Source organism: Homo sapiens, chromosome 7 (assembly GCF_000001405.40).
Source record: "Homo sapiens chromosome 7, GRCh38.p14 Primary Assembly".
In the NCBI taxonomy this organism is placed as follows: Eukaryota; Metazoa; Chordata; class Mammalia; order Primates; family Hominidae; genus Homo; species Homo sapiens.
In genome coordinates this window covers 27,803,841-27,818,058 of record NC_000007.14, presented here as the reverse complement: position 1 = coordinate 27,818,058, position 14,218 = coordinate 27,803,841, and the positions used below count along the sequence as shown (strand labels likewise).

The 14,218-nt window shown below is 36.0% G+C and overlaps 1 protein-coding gene across 6 annotated transcripts in view; it reads right to left on the bottom strand.

Annotated features, from left to right (window-relative positions):
* The window catches only part of TAX1BP1 (Tax1 binding protein 1), a 90,395-nt gene that overhangs the window by 11,709 nt on the left and 64,468 nt on the right, over positions 1-14,218 (bottom strand). For 3 of the 6 annotated variants that reach the window (NM_001206901.1, NM_001079864.3, NM_001206902.2), the window contains 2 exons: positions 1,665-1,710; positions 1,021-1,169 (listed from right to left, as the gene is read on the bottom strand). The exons of 1 other annotated variant lie outside the window; for it this stretch is intronic. In NM_001206901.1, coding sequence (NP_001193830.1) covers positions 1,021-1,169; positions 1,665-1,710 — 195 coding nt within the window. Of the gene's footprint in view, positions 1-1,020; positions 1,170-1,538; positions 1,711-14,218 lie in introns of all 6 variants that reach the window. 2 more of the 6 variants (NM_006024.7, NM_001362794.2) reach the window with 2 other exon arrangements.

Genomic DNA, 14,218 nt, shown 5'->3' with positions numbered 1-14,218 from the left:
TGATACTCTAGACCTTAAATAGGCTACAAAAGTTCTGACAGTTTTCCTAATTATTCCCAGTAATGGACACAGGAGGCCAAAAGGCAGGAGGGAGAAATACATTTTTCTCCATTATGGGTGTTGAGCACTAGGGCTAAAATCATGCCTGTCTGAACACTGATCAGTTTCTGCAAAGGTTAATAGCAATTAAATGCAGCAAACTAGATTAAATAAGAAACAGGTCATGATACCACTGTACTTGCAAAGAGCACGATAAAGCATTTCTTTTAAATTCATCTTAATGCACAGGAAATCCAAAAAGAGCTACTATGAAGAAAAGAACATATTATCTATCCAAAAAGAGCTGCTGTAAGGAAACAAACCTATTCATTAAATATTGAAGGAATCTCTTAAATAAAATTTACAAAAATAATGACATGCTATACAAACTAATTCAATTATCATCAGTATTGTGTTGCTGCCAGAGAATAAGAAATCCTACCTAAATACTAAAGACATCTCAAATAGTATTTCTCCAAAAAAGAAAACCACTATATGATACATACACTTTTCTCTTTTTCTGGCTGAAGATAATGAAGAGTCCACACTAAAATCTAAAGTGGGATATAAATGCTATAAAGAAAAGATGTACACTGAAGCATAACACTGCCATTAACACTTTGCTGCTTCAAGCCTAACATCTATAATCAAAAGAATATAGTAAGTTACTTAGTGATGTTTAAGATTAAACTATCTGATAACTACAATATTCTGAGATTATTCTCTAAACTTAATCTTTTACTTTAGTATATAAATCCTAAAGTATAAGTCTGAAGCATACTGGTAGATTTTTCAAATTTAAATACAAGCACAGTTTTCAAAAAATCAAGTAGGCAATTGTGTGCAGGCACAAGCACACACTCTCCTTCCACACACACGCATGCACGCACAAAGATACACATATGCACACATACCCTTAACTCTCTACATAAGCTAAAAAATAAAAAAGGGACAGGCTCACACAATGAAAATTCAATTTACTTTGCTATCCTCAGAGTCCTCTAAGCCATCAGGCCGACTAAAGTTTCGAGCAGGCTGGCTGCAGACAACATTGTCTTCCAGTCCCCAAGAGGGGACTCTGACAGGTGGCCTTTGTATTTCATCTGGGTAAAAAGCACCATCTGCTCCATCTGTAATAAAATTTTTGGAAAGGTAGAGTGAAACTGGTTACTACAACTAACATCTGTATATACAGATATGATGAACAGGATATAAAGAACCACTTTGGCATGTGAAAAAAATAGATGTTTTTATTTTTAACCCAGGTGATTTTTTAAATTGTGAACTATATGCAATAAGTAAATAAAGTACTCATCTCATGGTGCATCACTTCTAGATGAAGCCAGTTACAGTGTTAAATATTAAAACTGCTAATTATACAAATAAAATAATGTTTGTATTAGGGTTGATTATACCAGCAGTTTGCTAATCCATGAAAATATAAACCATAAAAAAATCTCCAGATGCAGCTAATCCCAAACCAAAAATACTGTAATAACCTCTTGTTTCCTGAGATGCATAAGGATTACCATATTGCAGAACTGGTTGTGCATTTGACAATGTGAGAACATAACCATTTTGCTCTGAGCATGTTTTGAAACATTGAGGACTCTGGGAATTCTGACCTTCCATTTTCCTTTCTGCTGGATTTTCTAGACTCCTTTTAAGTTCCTAAAATTAACAAAAACAAAGATGAATAAGCAAAGCAATAAAATATTTCATAAATACAGCAGTATTAAACATTTAGTCAAAATATAACAATAAAATTATTTCCTATTATGAAGTTGGAATGCAATTGGAAACACAGTTAGAAAAGCTGGCTCTCAACTTCTCATAAATGTATCCTCCACATATAACAAAATCAGAAAGCAGGATAAAGCCGATGTATTTTCAAATTTATTTGTGCCAAGAAAGTACATCATTCTCATTGAGTTAATGTAGGGTAAACTGTGAATCTCTTACAACTTAGGTATGAATAAAAAGTCTTTTTTTTTGAGACAGAGCTTCACCCAGGCTGGGGTGCAATGGCACGATCTTGGCTCACTGCAACCTCCACCTCCTGGGTTCAAGCAATTCTCCTCCCTCAGCTTCCTGAGTAGCTGGGATTACAGATGCGCACCACCACACCTGGCTAATTTTTGTATTTTTAGTAGAGACAGGGTTTCACCATGTTGGTCAGGCTGGTCTTGAACTCCTGACCTCTTGATCCACCCACTTCAGCCTCCCAAAGTGCTGGGATTACAGGCATGAGCCACTGCACCCGGCCAAAAAGTCTCCTTAAAAAAAGAAAAACGTGAATTCTATCACTTAAGATTTTTTTATAAAAATGTGTCCTGTATAAACTCTTTCAAAACACAAAGAAACATTTCCTAACTTGTTTTACAAAGCCAGTATTATTCTGATACCAAAAACAAGGATTTCACAAAAAAACTAGAGACCTTATCCCTCATAAATATTGATGCAAAAGCCTTAACTTATAGCACGTCAAACCCAATATTAAAAAATAAAACATGATCAAATGGACTTTATCACAAAAAAAGTCATTTTAACATCCAAAAACCAAATGCAGTTCAACATCCAAAAATCAATAAATGTAATTTACCTTTTAATAAAGGGGAAAAAGAAACATGATCATTTCAATTGATGCAGAAGAAATATTTTACAAAATTCAAGTCATTCATGATTTTTTTTAAATCTCAGAAACTAAAGAATAAAAAGGAGCTCTCTTAACCTCATAAAAGGCAGCTATAAAAACCTACTGTGACCCTTAATGGTGAAAAACTAAATGATTCTACTGAAGATCAAAATGAGATCAATAATAATAAGACAATGATGTCTGCTCTCAACACTTCCATTCAAAATAGCCAGTGGATCAAGGCAAAATTAAGGTAGACTGGAAAGGAAGAAGTAAAACAATCTTTATTCACAATGGTATGAGGATAAATGTAAAAAATCCCAAAAAATCTATAAAAACTAGGAAAATGGCCGGGCACAGTGGCTCACGCCTGTAATCCCAGCACTTTGGGAGCCCGAGGCGGATGGATCACAAGGTCAGGAGATCAAGACCATCCTGGCTAACACGGTGGAATCCCGTCTCTACTAAAAATACAAAAAAATTAGTCAACCGTGGTGGCACACACCTGTAGTCCCAGCTACTCAGGAGGCTGAGGCAGAAAGAATTGCTTGAACCTGGGAGATGGAGGTTACAGTGAGCCGAGATCGCGCCACTGCACTCCAGCATGGGTGACAGAATGAGACTCCGTCTCAAAAAAAAAACTAGAAAAATGAGTGTAAATAATTTAGTCAGGTTGCAGTATACAAGATCAATATGTAAAATCAATTGTATTTCTACATACAGCAACAAATAATTGGAAAATGATATTTTTAATAATTCTACTTAGAGTAAAATCAATAGATAAAATGTTTAGGAATAAATATATGAAAGATGTGCAAAGCCTATACACTAAACAAAATAATGCATTAAGAAGAGCATAAACAAAGGGAGACATATAACATGTTCATGGACTAGAAAACTTAGTACTTTTATGCTATTAATTCCCCCCCCAAATTAACTATAGATACAATACAATGCCTAGAAAATCCCAGTAGGCTTTTGTACAAATTAACAAAATAATTCTAAAATGTACACAGAAACACAAAGGTCCTGTAATAGCCCATATGTAAAAAGCAGAACAGGCTGGACATGATGGCTTATGCCTGTAACTCCAGGGCTACTGAGAAATAGGAGATATATTTAGAACAAGAAAGGCATTCAAAAGATGTCCTTCATCTCTTGCCAAGACTGAAAACCCCAGAGATGCTACTGTAGTAATTCAAGACTGGCACGTGACTACAGAAAAAAAAGAAAGGTTAAATCCAAGAAACATTTCAAACACGATTCAAAAAAAAGAAAAAAAAAAAAAAGGCCAAGTGCGGTGGCTCACACCTGTAATCCCAGCACTTTGGGAGGCCGAGGCGGGCGGATCATGAGGAGTTATTTCTTTCAACCTGCTGTAAGTCCTTTCGCTTAAAGTTGCAGTTTCTAAGAACTGCTCTATGATGTTAAGTGAGGACTTACTGACCATTAAGTATTTGTCTTCTAACAAATTTAGTGACCGTTAAAAAAAAAACTACACATAAATTGAAAGAAAATTAATGTGTTTATTTCATTCCTAAATAAGTAGTTACTAATGGGATGTGTGTGACTATTGGCCACTGTACAACTCCTCAAGCCTTTGAATCAGATTGGACAAGCCACCTTCATTTCCTGTTTCTCACTGATTTTCACAATGTGGCACTTGGGAGGCCAAAGCAGGAGGATTGCCTGTTTGAGACAAGCCTGGACAACATAGTGAGACCCTATCTCAATAAAAAATTTTAAAATGGCCAGGCACCGTGGCTCATACCTGTAATCCCAGCACTTGTGAGGCTCTGGGTGGATCACTTGAGCCCAGCCTGGGCAACATGGCAAACCCTTTCTCTACATGAAATACAAAAATTAGCTGGGTGTGATGGCATGTGCCTATAGTCCCAACTGCTCAGAAACCTGAGGTGGGAGGATCACCTGAGTCTGGGAGGTCAAGGCTACAGTAAGCCATGATGGCACCACTGCACTCCAGCCTGGGTGACAGAGTAAGACCCTGTCTCAGAAAAAAAAAGAAAAAAAAAAGAAAAGAAAAGAAAACAAGAAAAAATTTAGCCAGGTACAGTGGCACATGCCTGTAGTCAGCTATTTCAGAGGCTGAGGCAGGAGGATCACTTCAGCCCAAGAGGTCGAGGTCAAGGCTGCAGTGAACTACGATCAAGCCACTCACTCCAGCCTGGAAGATGGCAGGGAGATGCTGTCTTTAAGAAAAAAAAAAAAAAAAAAAAAAGCAGAACAAAGTTGGAGGACTTATGAAACCTGATTTCAAGACGTATTATAAAGCTACAGTAAACAAGACGGTATAGTATTGGCATAAGAATATAGATGAGGAGCTGGCAATCTTTTTCTGCAAAGGGTCAAACAGTATATATTTTCACCTTTGTAGGCCACACAGTCTCTGTTGCAACTACTGAAATCTGTCTCTGCAATTGCAGTCATAGATGATACCTACATGAATGGGCATGGCCATGTGCTAATAAAGTTTTATTTATATAAAGCCAGATTTAGCATATAGGCCTTAGTTTGCTGACCCTTGATAAAAATCAATAAAATAGAATATAGATTCTAAAAGTAGACCCATACTTATAGAGTATTTTCAACATTTAAAATACCTCAAGATGTAGAGGAAATTCTATGGAGGAAAAGGATGGTCTTTTCAACATGATCTTTAAAAACTGGGTACTTATATACAAAATAAACTTTGACTACATATCATACCATATAAAAAACAAATAGATCATAAATCTAAAGTAAGAGAGCTAAAACTACAAACCTTTTGGAAGAAAAAAATAGGAGAATATCTTCATAACCTTGATTTAGGCAAAAATTTAAGATAGGACAAACAGCATGAAGCATTAAGACAAATACTGATAAACTGGACTACCTCAAAATTCAAGGCTTTTGCTTTTCAAAAGATAATGTTGTAAAAAAGGAAAAAAGAAATCACAGACTGGAAGAAAATAACACCAAAATATCTGACAAAGGAATTATATCTGGGATATATAAAGAACTGTCGCAACCAAAGATGACAGACAGCTCAATAAAAAAAAATAGATTTGAACAGAAACTTCACAAAGGAATATGTACAAATGGCCTGCAAGCACATGAAAAGATGCTCAGCATCACTAGTTATCAGGGAAATTAAAACTAAAATCCACAATGAGATAACACTAATACACCCACTAGGATGACTAAAATTAAAGACTGACAAAAATACCAAGTGCTGGTGAGGATATGGAGCAGTTGGAATGCTCATACACTGCCAGTGGGAATACAAAAATGGTACAGCCACTTTGTAAAAACAATTCGGCCGTTTCATTAAAAACATACACTTACCATATAAGCCCGCAATTCCACTCCTAGGTATCTACTCAAGAAAAATGAAAACATATGTCCACAAAAAGACTTACGTAAGAATGTTCATAGCAGCATTATTTGTAATAGCAAAATATCAGAAATAATTTAAATGTCCATCAGCTGGTAGATTAATGTCTATCAACTAATGAATGGATAAATTCTGCTTTATTCCAATTACATGAAATGCTAGAAGCCATAAAACGACAGGGACAGAAAGCAGACCAGAGGTTTTCTAGGACAGGGGGGTAGCAGGAGGGGACGAATGCAAATGAGCAAGAGGGAACTTTGTGCAGTAATGGAAACGTTACACTGCTTGAATGAAACGGTAGTTACAGAACTACATGCATTTGCCAAAAGTCATCAAACTCTATTTAAATGAACAGATTCTATTACATGTAAACTGCACCTTAACAGAGCTGTTAAAAAAAAAAAATCAACCAGAGGCCTTATTAACAAAGGATATAAGAATGAAAAATTTAGTCTGGAAAGTTGAGCTGGTTTTGCTGCTTGTCATTTCTTGGGGGTAGAGATGAGACTGTGTCTAAGTTAACACATTTTTACCTATATAAATGATCCAATAAATGGACTAAGTAACCTTAAAATGAAAGTCATCATCAAGAGCAAAACTTGCAAACATTAAGAAAAATGCAAGTCAACTTAGGTTTGATAAGAGATGCAGGAATTAAAAGTTCTTTCTAAGCAAGTCCATACATAACATACACGTCCACATATCAACTATGCCAGGTACTGTGTAAAACTGTGAGGTTAAGATGGCATTCCTGCCTTTCAACCACTCATTATTTAACTGCAAAAATAAGACTTGTGAAATTTTAAGCAAAAAAGGAAAATACTCTTTCAAGATACCTAGCACACCATCTATTATGTAACAGGTGCCGTACTAGGAACTAGAGATACAAAGATTAACTTGAAATGGATTTTGCCTGCAAAGAATTCAGTCTAATAAAAGGTACAACTCTAGATAAATAATTAGCAATTAATTGTGGTAAGTGGTCTCGTATAGAGATGAAGGTAAAATGCAATGTATCAAAATGGAAACACTGTATACTAGGAAGAGACTATAGAGAAGAGCCATTTGAGATGGATCCTAAGGAATTTTCACCAAGCAGATGAAGAGCATTCTGACATAAAGTAAATAAAAAGATACAGAACATATGAGAAATAATAACGTATTTCAGGCTTGGTAAAATATGACTAGAGCAAAGGATGCATATTAAGAGCAGCAGGAGCTGGGAATGGTGGCTCACACCTATAATCCCAGCACTTTGGGAGGGAAGATCACCTGAGCCCAGGAGTTAGAGAGCAACATAGCAAGGCAAGACCCTGTCTCAGGCAGGAGATATAGCTGAAAAGACAAGTTGAAGGTCAGATGTGTCAAATCTGTCATACAATTTACAATGGGCCTTCAGGTTTTTTAACAATAACAACACGGTAAAAATGGTCCTTGGTAAGGTTAATCTAGCAAAACAATAATGGGCATACTCAAAACCAGAAGCAAATTAGTAGGAAGGCAGCACAGCATGGTAGATTGGAATCAGGCTGACCTAGATTTGATTATCAGATCAGCACTAATAACCCTAAAGAATTTACCTTTTCTAAGCCTTACAGGGCTATTGAGAAATAGGAGATACATTTAGAACAAGAAAGGCATTCAAAAGATATCCTTCATCTCTTGCCATGACTGAAAACCCCAGAGATGCTACTGTAGTCATTCAAGACTGGCATGTGACTACAGAAAAAAAAGAAAGGTTAAATCCAAGAAACATTTCAAACACGATTCAAAAAAAAAAAAAGGGCTGTGCGTGGTGGCTCACGCCTGTAATCCCAGCACTTCGGGAGGCTGAGGCAGGTGGATCATGAGGTCAGGAGATCAAGACCATCCTGGCTAACACAGTGAAACCTTGTCTCTACTAAAAATATAAAAAATTAGCCAGGCGTGGTGGCACACACCTGTAGTCCCAGCTACCCAGGAGGCTGCAGCAGGAGAATTGCTTGAACCCAGGAGGCAGAGGTTGCAGTGAGCCAAGATCGCGCCACTGCACTCCAGCCTAGGTGACAGAGCAAGATTCTCCGTCTCCCAAAAAAAAAAAGGCACAAAAGAAGTTAGAGATAATAAAATACTTATTCAAAAGTTTATGCAAATTAAAGAAGTAGAGTTTAAATTCTTCTGTAAGCAAATAATACACTACTGAAATAGAGTCAAGGGTTTCATGAAAAGATTTAGGCTGCATTGGTACAGTCAAGCAACTTTATAGAGTTCCAACCTAATAGAGAGTTTAATCTAATATGCCTACTCTACCATCAAAGATACAATAAATTATTTGCAAATAGGATTCAGGGTAAGAATAGGATTGGTGACAAGCAGCTTTGATTCCTCATGGGGGACAGAGAATGCATGCACATGGACAAGATAGTTAAGGTTAGGTTCTTTTGCAAATCAGAAGACTGAACTCTCCCCTCCAAAACATAATACCTGGACTTAGAGAAGGTTCTTAAACTTGCATTCACAAAGCCCCTCAAGGGGTCCATGTTTAGATTTCAGGAGGTCCATGAACTTACATGGGCAAAAAAAATTGTATCTATTCACTAACTTCTAACTAAAATTTAGGATTTTCTTCCATTAGGAATGTAGGCCAAAAAACACAGTAATGGTTGTGGTACCTGTAACTTGGCCACCTACAGAGATCAAACAGATTTGTTTCATATTACATTTGTTGTAGCCATCTCAAAATAGCCTTTATATTCATCACCACTTCAAAATTATGGTCATTATCAGACATGCTGCTAAATCTTACATTTGTTTCGAATTACATTTGTTGTAGCCATCTCAAAATAGCCTTTCTATTGATCACCACTTCAAAATTACAGTCATTATTAGACATGCTATTAAATCTTATTTAACATTTAAAAGAATAAGCACATACTCTATCATATATATCACAAATTTGTCTTAATATTTTGATAACTACAATAATGTGTTTCCTTTGTGATTCTACACATTTTGCTCTATTCATTTTAAATCATTTTCTGAAAATAGACTTTGTCAAAATATCAAAGGGTTCTAGAAACAAAAATGGTCAAGAATCCCTGGGGGACCTCTCCTACTTACAAAGGCATGGATAACATAAGTGTAGCTATCTTAACTGAGCAAAACAGTATTAACTGCTGACTCATAATTTTCCTAAAATAGCCACCACAATTTAAGAAAGAGATTTTGTCAGAAGTAGTCATCTCTTACTGTTCCAGCTCCCAGGAACAAGTCTGTTTAGCTGGTTGCCTTTGCCAGGGTGCCTAAATACTTTTTTTCTTCGGTACCCAAAATGGCTCACAGTGACCCCGGTTTTACAAATTATTTGACAAGTTAAGGATGTTTCTGATACTCCAACTGGTAAATAGGAGAAATAATATATTCCTCTTCTCTGCCATCATGGGAATGTTCTGAGAGTAAAGGAGCGCGGAGAGTACACCATAGGACAACTAAATATGTAAATTTTACACCCTCCACCCTACCCACCAAAAAAATGAAACAAATGTTGAACTCTAGTTAGATGTGCTTTTCACAGTGCTATGGGTTAGCAATTCTGAAATTATTTTCTGTGTATTCAACACTTGAGTAAATATATCAAGGAAACTCAGACCAGGTTCCTAGTCTAATTAGAAAAGGAAGTTATATTATGGAAAGAGAGAAGACTAGAATTTATGCTGTAGTTTTAGACTACAATTGGAGGTATAAGTATTTACTCATAGTTTTTTGTGTGTGTTGCTATTTTTTAATATACAGAGAGGGAAAGAGAGGGGGAGAACCATATTTTCCAGCTCTGTCTGCTAAGGACTTTGAATCAATGAGGGTACACCTACAGCCCAGATCTTGGTTTCTAAACTACATACACCAGTAAATGGAACAGGGCTCCTTGGAGAAAAGACTGATTCCAGGCTGGGGCAGGAAAATAACAAGATGAGCCTGGAACATCCTTCTGCACCAGAAAGTAATAAGTGCTCAAAGAATAATGAAAGACACATTAAGCCACAAGAGCTAGTATGCAGGGGCTCTTATTAGTTAAATCTGATACAATCTGAGTATCAAAATGATTATAAAAATAGACTGTAATCCATTGACTAAAACGGGAATCCATGAGTCTACAATGATAAATATCAATGAATAAATAAACAAATTGGGGAGAAAGAAAAGATAGCTCTTACAGAAAAATTCTAATCAATATAGAAGGAATTATGGAGTTAGAAGATCATTAATAGATACTAAAATACCAGGTGAAAGTCTGATAAAGAACAAGATATTTACATGGTCTCAAAGTATCTCCCTACAAATTACTTATTAATTACAAAGGGAAAATATTAATTTTATATCAGTAAAACCTGGTGGACAATACCTTAACCAAATAATGAAAGATCACCAGTATTGAGAAGGATATTTAAATTCTATAGTATTCCTGGCAAAATTCATAACCTAAGTTTCATCGTGATGAAATATTAAACCAAAATTAGTATTATATTAAATAACTGGCCCATATTTTTCAAAAATGTCAAGGTTAAGAAAGGCTATAAAGTTGTTCCAGATAAAGGGAAACTAAACACATGACAACTAAATGCAATGTATGATCATGGATTGGATCCTAGATCAGGGAGGAAAAGACTATAAACAATAAACAAAGTACTAAGGATACAATTTCAATATGTATTGTAGGTTAGATGATAATACTGTGTCAGTGTTAAACTTCCTAAATCTGTTAACTTTAACATGGCTGAAAGAACATCCTTGTACTGAGGATACAATATGCAGGGACTGTTATGTCTTCACCTCCAGTTACTGTCAAATGTTGGGGAAAGAATATAAATGAGAGTTCACTATACTATTTTTTCAACTTGAGTTTGAAATTACATAAAAATTTAAAACTACAAAAAGTTCAAGAGCCCCATATTCAAAAACAATAACCAGTTACAACATACAATGAAAGAGAAAATCCCATTTTCAAGAGGAAAAACAAAAATACTTAGGAATAAACTTTAAAAAGAATTCTTCCACACCCATAGGAAGAAAATTATTTAAAATTCCTGAAAGACACAAAACAGATTTGAACAAAACATCCCATATTGCCTGTTCTTTATTAAAAGGTAGAAATATCACCAAGATGTTAGTTATCCCTAAGTTAATGTATATACTTAATGCAATATCAATAAAAACACCAACAATCATTTCTAGAGCTAGAAAAGTTGGTACTAAAATTGCTATGGAAAACTAACCCTTCAAGAGAAAAGCTAGAAAAACACTGAAAACAAAGAGTTATGAGAAAGGACTAACCCAACCAAATATTAAAATAGACTACAAAGTTCTTACAATTAAAACACCATGTTACTACCATATGAGTAGACAGATCAATGGAACAGTACTCAAAGTACAGAAAGAGACCCAACTGCATATGGAAATCTATTATACAATAAATGTAGTATCTCAAATCACTGACATAAAACCGGCATTTTGATGAATGGATTGAGATAACTAGATAGCAATTTAGAACGAGATAAACTTAGATGCATTCCTTCTGTGATATCCAAGAATAAATTCTAAATGGATAAGAAATTTTAATGTTAAAAAAAAAAAAAACTGATGGTGGCTCACACCTGTAATCCCAGCACTTTGGAAGGCTGAGGCGGGTGGATCACCTGAGGTCAGGAGTTTGAGACCAGCCTAGCCAACATGGCAAAACCCTGTCTCTACTAAAAATATACAAATTAGCCAGGCTTGGTGGCGGGAGCCTGTAATCCCAGCTACTCAGGAGGCTGAAGCAGGAGAATTGCTTGAACCTGAGAGGCAAAGGTTGTAGTGAGTCGAGCTAGTGCCACTGCACTGTTGCCTGGGCAACAGAGCAAGACACCACCTCAAAAAAAAAAAAAAACTGAAACTCTATCAGTATTAGAACAAAACACAAGTGAACTCCTCTATAACCTGGGTGTAGGGAATGCTTTCTGTGGAAAACTAAAAATTCAAATGCAACACATCAGTAGTTTTCAAAGCTGAGCATAAATCTGAAACACTTGGAGGGTTTTTGTCAAACACAAATTTTGGGGCATCACTTCCAGAGCTGCTGATTCAGCAGGACCAGAACAGGGCCCAAGAATATGCATTTTGTTGTTGTTGTTGTTGTTGTTGATACAGAGTCTCACTCTGTTGCCCAGGCTGGAGTGTAGTGGCACAATCTCGGCTCACTGCAGCCTCTGCCTCCCGGGTTCAAGCAATTCTCTCACCTCAGCCTCCCAAGTAGCTGGGCTCATGGCATGAGCCACCATGCCTGGCTAATTTTTGCATTTTTAATAGAGACGTGGTTTCACCATGTTGGCCAAGCTGGTCTCGAGTTCCTGACCTCAGGTGATCCACAAGCCTCAGCCTCCCAAAGTGCTAGGATTACAGGCGTAAGCCACAGCACCCGGCAAAGCATATGCATTTCTAACAAGTTTCCAGATGGTGCTAACATTGCTGGTCAAGGCAGTACCACACTTTAGACTACACAAAAATAAAGAACATTTACATGGTAAAAGTAAGTATAGTGAGCATAGTCAAAAGTCAAATAAACTGAGAGAAAATCCTTACCACATATGTATCACAAATAAAGGGGTAATATCTCTAATAGGGGAAAAATATATATATAACAAGATAAGTAAAACAAACCAAAAATCAGAGAATAATGAGCCAAAGAACTCACAAAAAAGATAAGATGTTTAACCTTGCTCATAATAGAGATGCAAATTAAAACTACACTAAGGTACTATTCCTAATCTCTCCCATATGCAAAAATTAGAAAGCCTGATTACAATTTATATGGGAAACAGGTCCACTTCTCATACATTGCTGGTGGAAACGAAAAATAATACAAATTCTATGAAAGGGCATCTGGCAATCTCTAACAAAACTACACATGCATTTACCCTTCAAACCAGCAATCACGCTTCTAGGAATTTACCTTGAAGGTACCACCCCAACACCAGAAAACTACATGTGCATAGAATCATTCATTGCAGTATTATTTGTAAAATATTAGCAACTACCTAAATGGCCAAATACAGGAAGTTGGTTGAATAAATTATGGTATGTATAATGAAGTACTACACAGCTGTTTAAAAAAAGATGGAGGATTTCTATGAGCTTCATATATGGAATGGTTTTCAGAATATAGTAGTGCTGAGAAAAAGCATACACAGGTTGAGCATTCCCTGATAAAAAATCCAAAATCTGAAATGTTCCAAACTGAAACTTTTTGAGCACTGACATGATGCCACAAGTAGACAATTCCCCATCTGCCACATTATTTTTTCACTGTTATTAATGGTACATAATAGTTTTTGCTATTAAGTACTTATGTGTGAATTACGTGTGAATAAGTGTGAGAAAATGACTGCTATCAGTAGCCTGAGGACCTCACTTGTAACTGGCATCTAAAGTGGGAGCAGTCCTGTGGGACTGAGCCTTAACCTGAGGGGTCTATGCTAACTCATGGTAGTTAGTATCAGAATTGAACTGAATTGTAGAATACCAGTTTTGGCATCAGAAAATCGTTGCTGGAACAATACCACACAGACATACATAAACAAGGACAAAGGAAGGTTCGTCCTTATAGTAGAATGCCAAAGGACAAATGTGGAAAAAGTGATGAGTTGAAAAATCAGAATTTCACAACTATCACAGTAACCTCATACAACCTTGAAATCTAACTTGCACTTAGAATGGCTCTTTTATGATACATGATTTTGTAACATCGCTGGTCATTTGGAAAACTACTGGTTCACTGAGTTATGTGGATCTTCTAAATGCTGACAAATTTTGCTATACAATTAAAAAATACAGTCTAAATATTACAACCATCTCATTAGAAAAGTTTGTAAACATTGGAAAGCATCAAGCTTACACTGGAAGATAACAAGTTTTTCAAAATTCCAGTTTTTGCTTAAAAGCTCAAATATTATCAATGGCAAAAAAAATTATCAATTGTTTTTCCCTGATATAACAGGCTCATTTCATTTCACTTTGAGAAAATATCTGTCAAATACCCAAGTCTGAATATAGAAATTGTTCTTTAAAGTAAAAATGGTTTCCATGAAAAAAGAGACTAGCTCAACTCACAACTCAAACAAACAAGCACTTTACCTTTA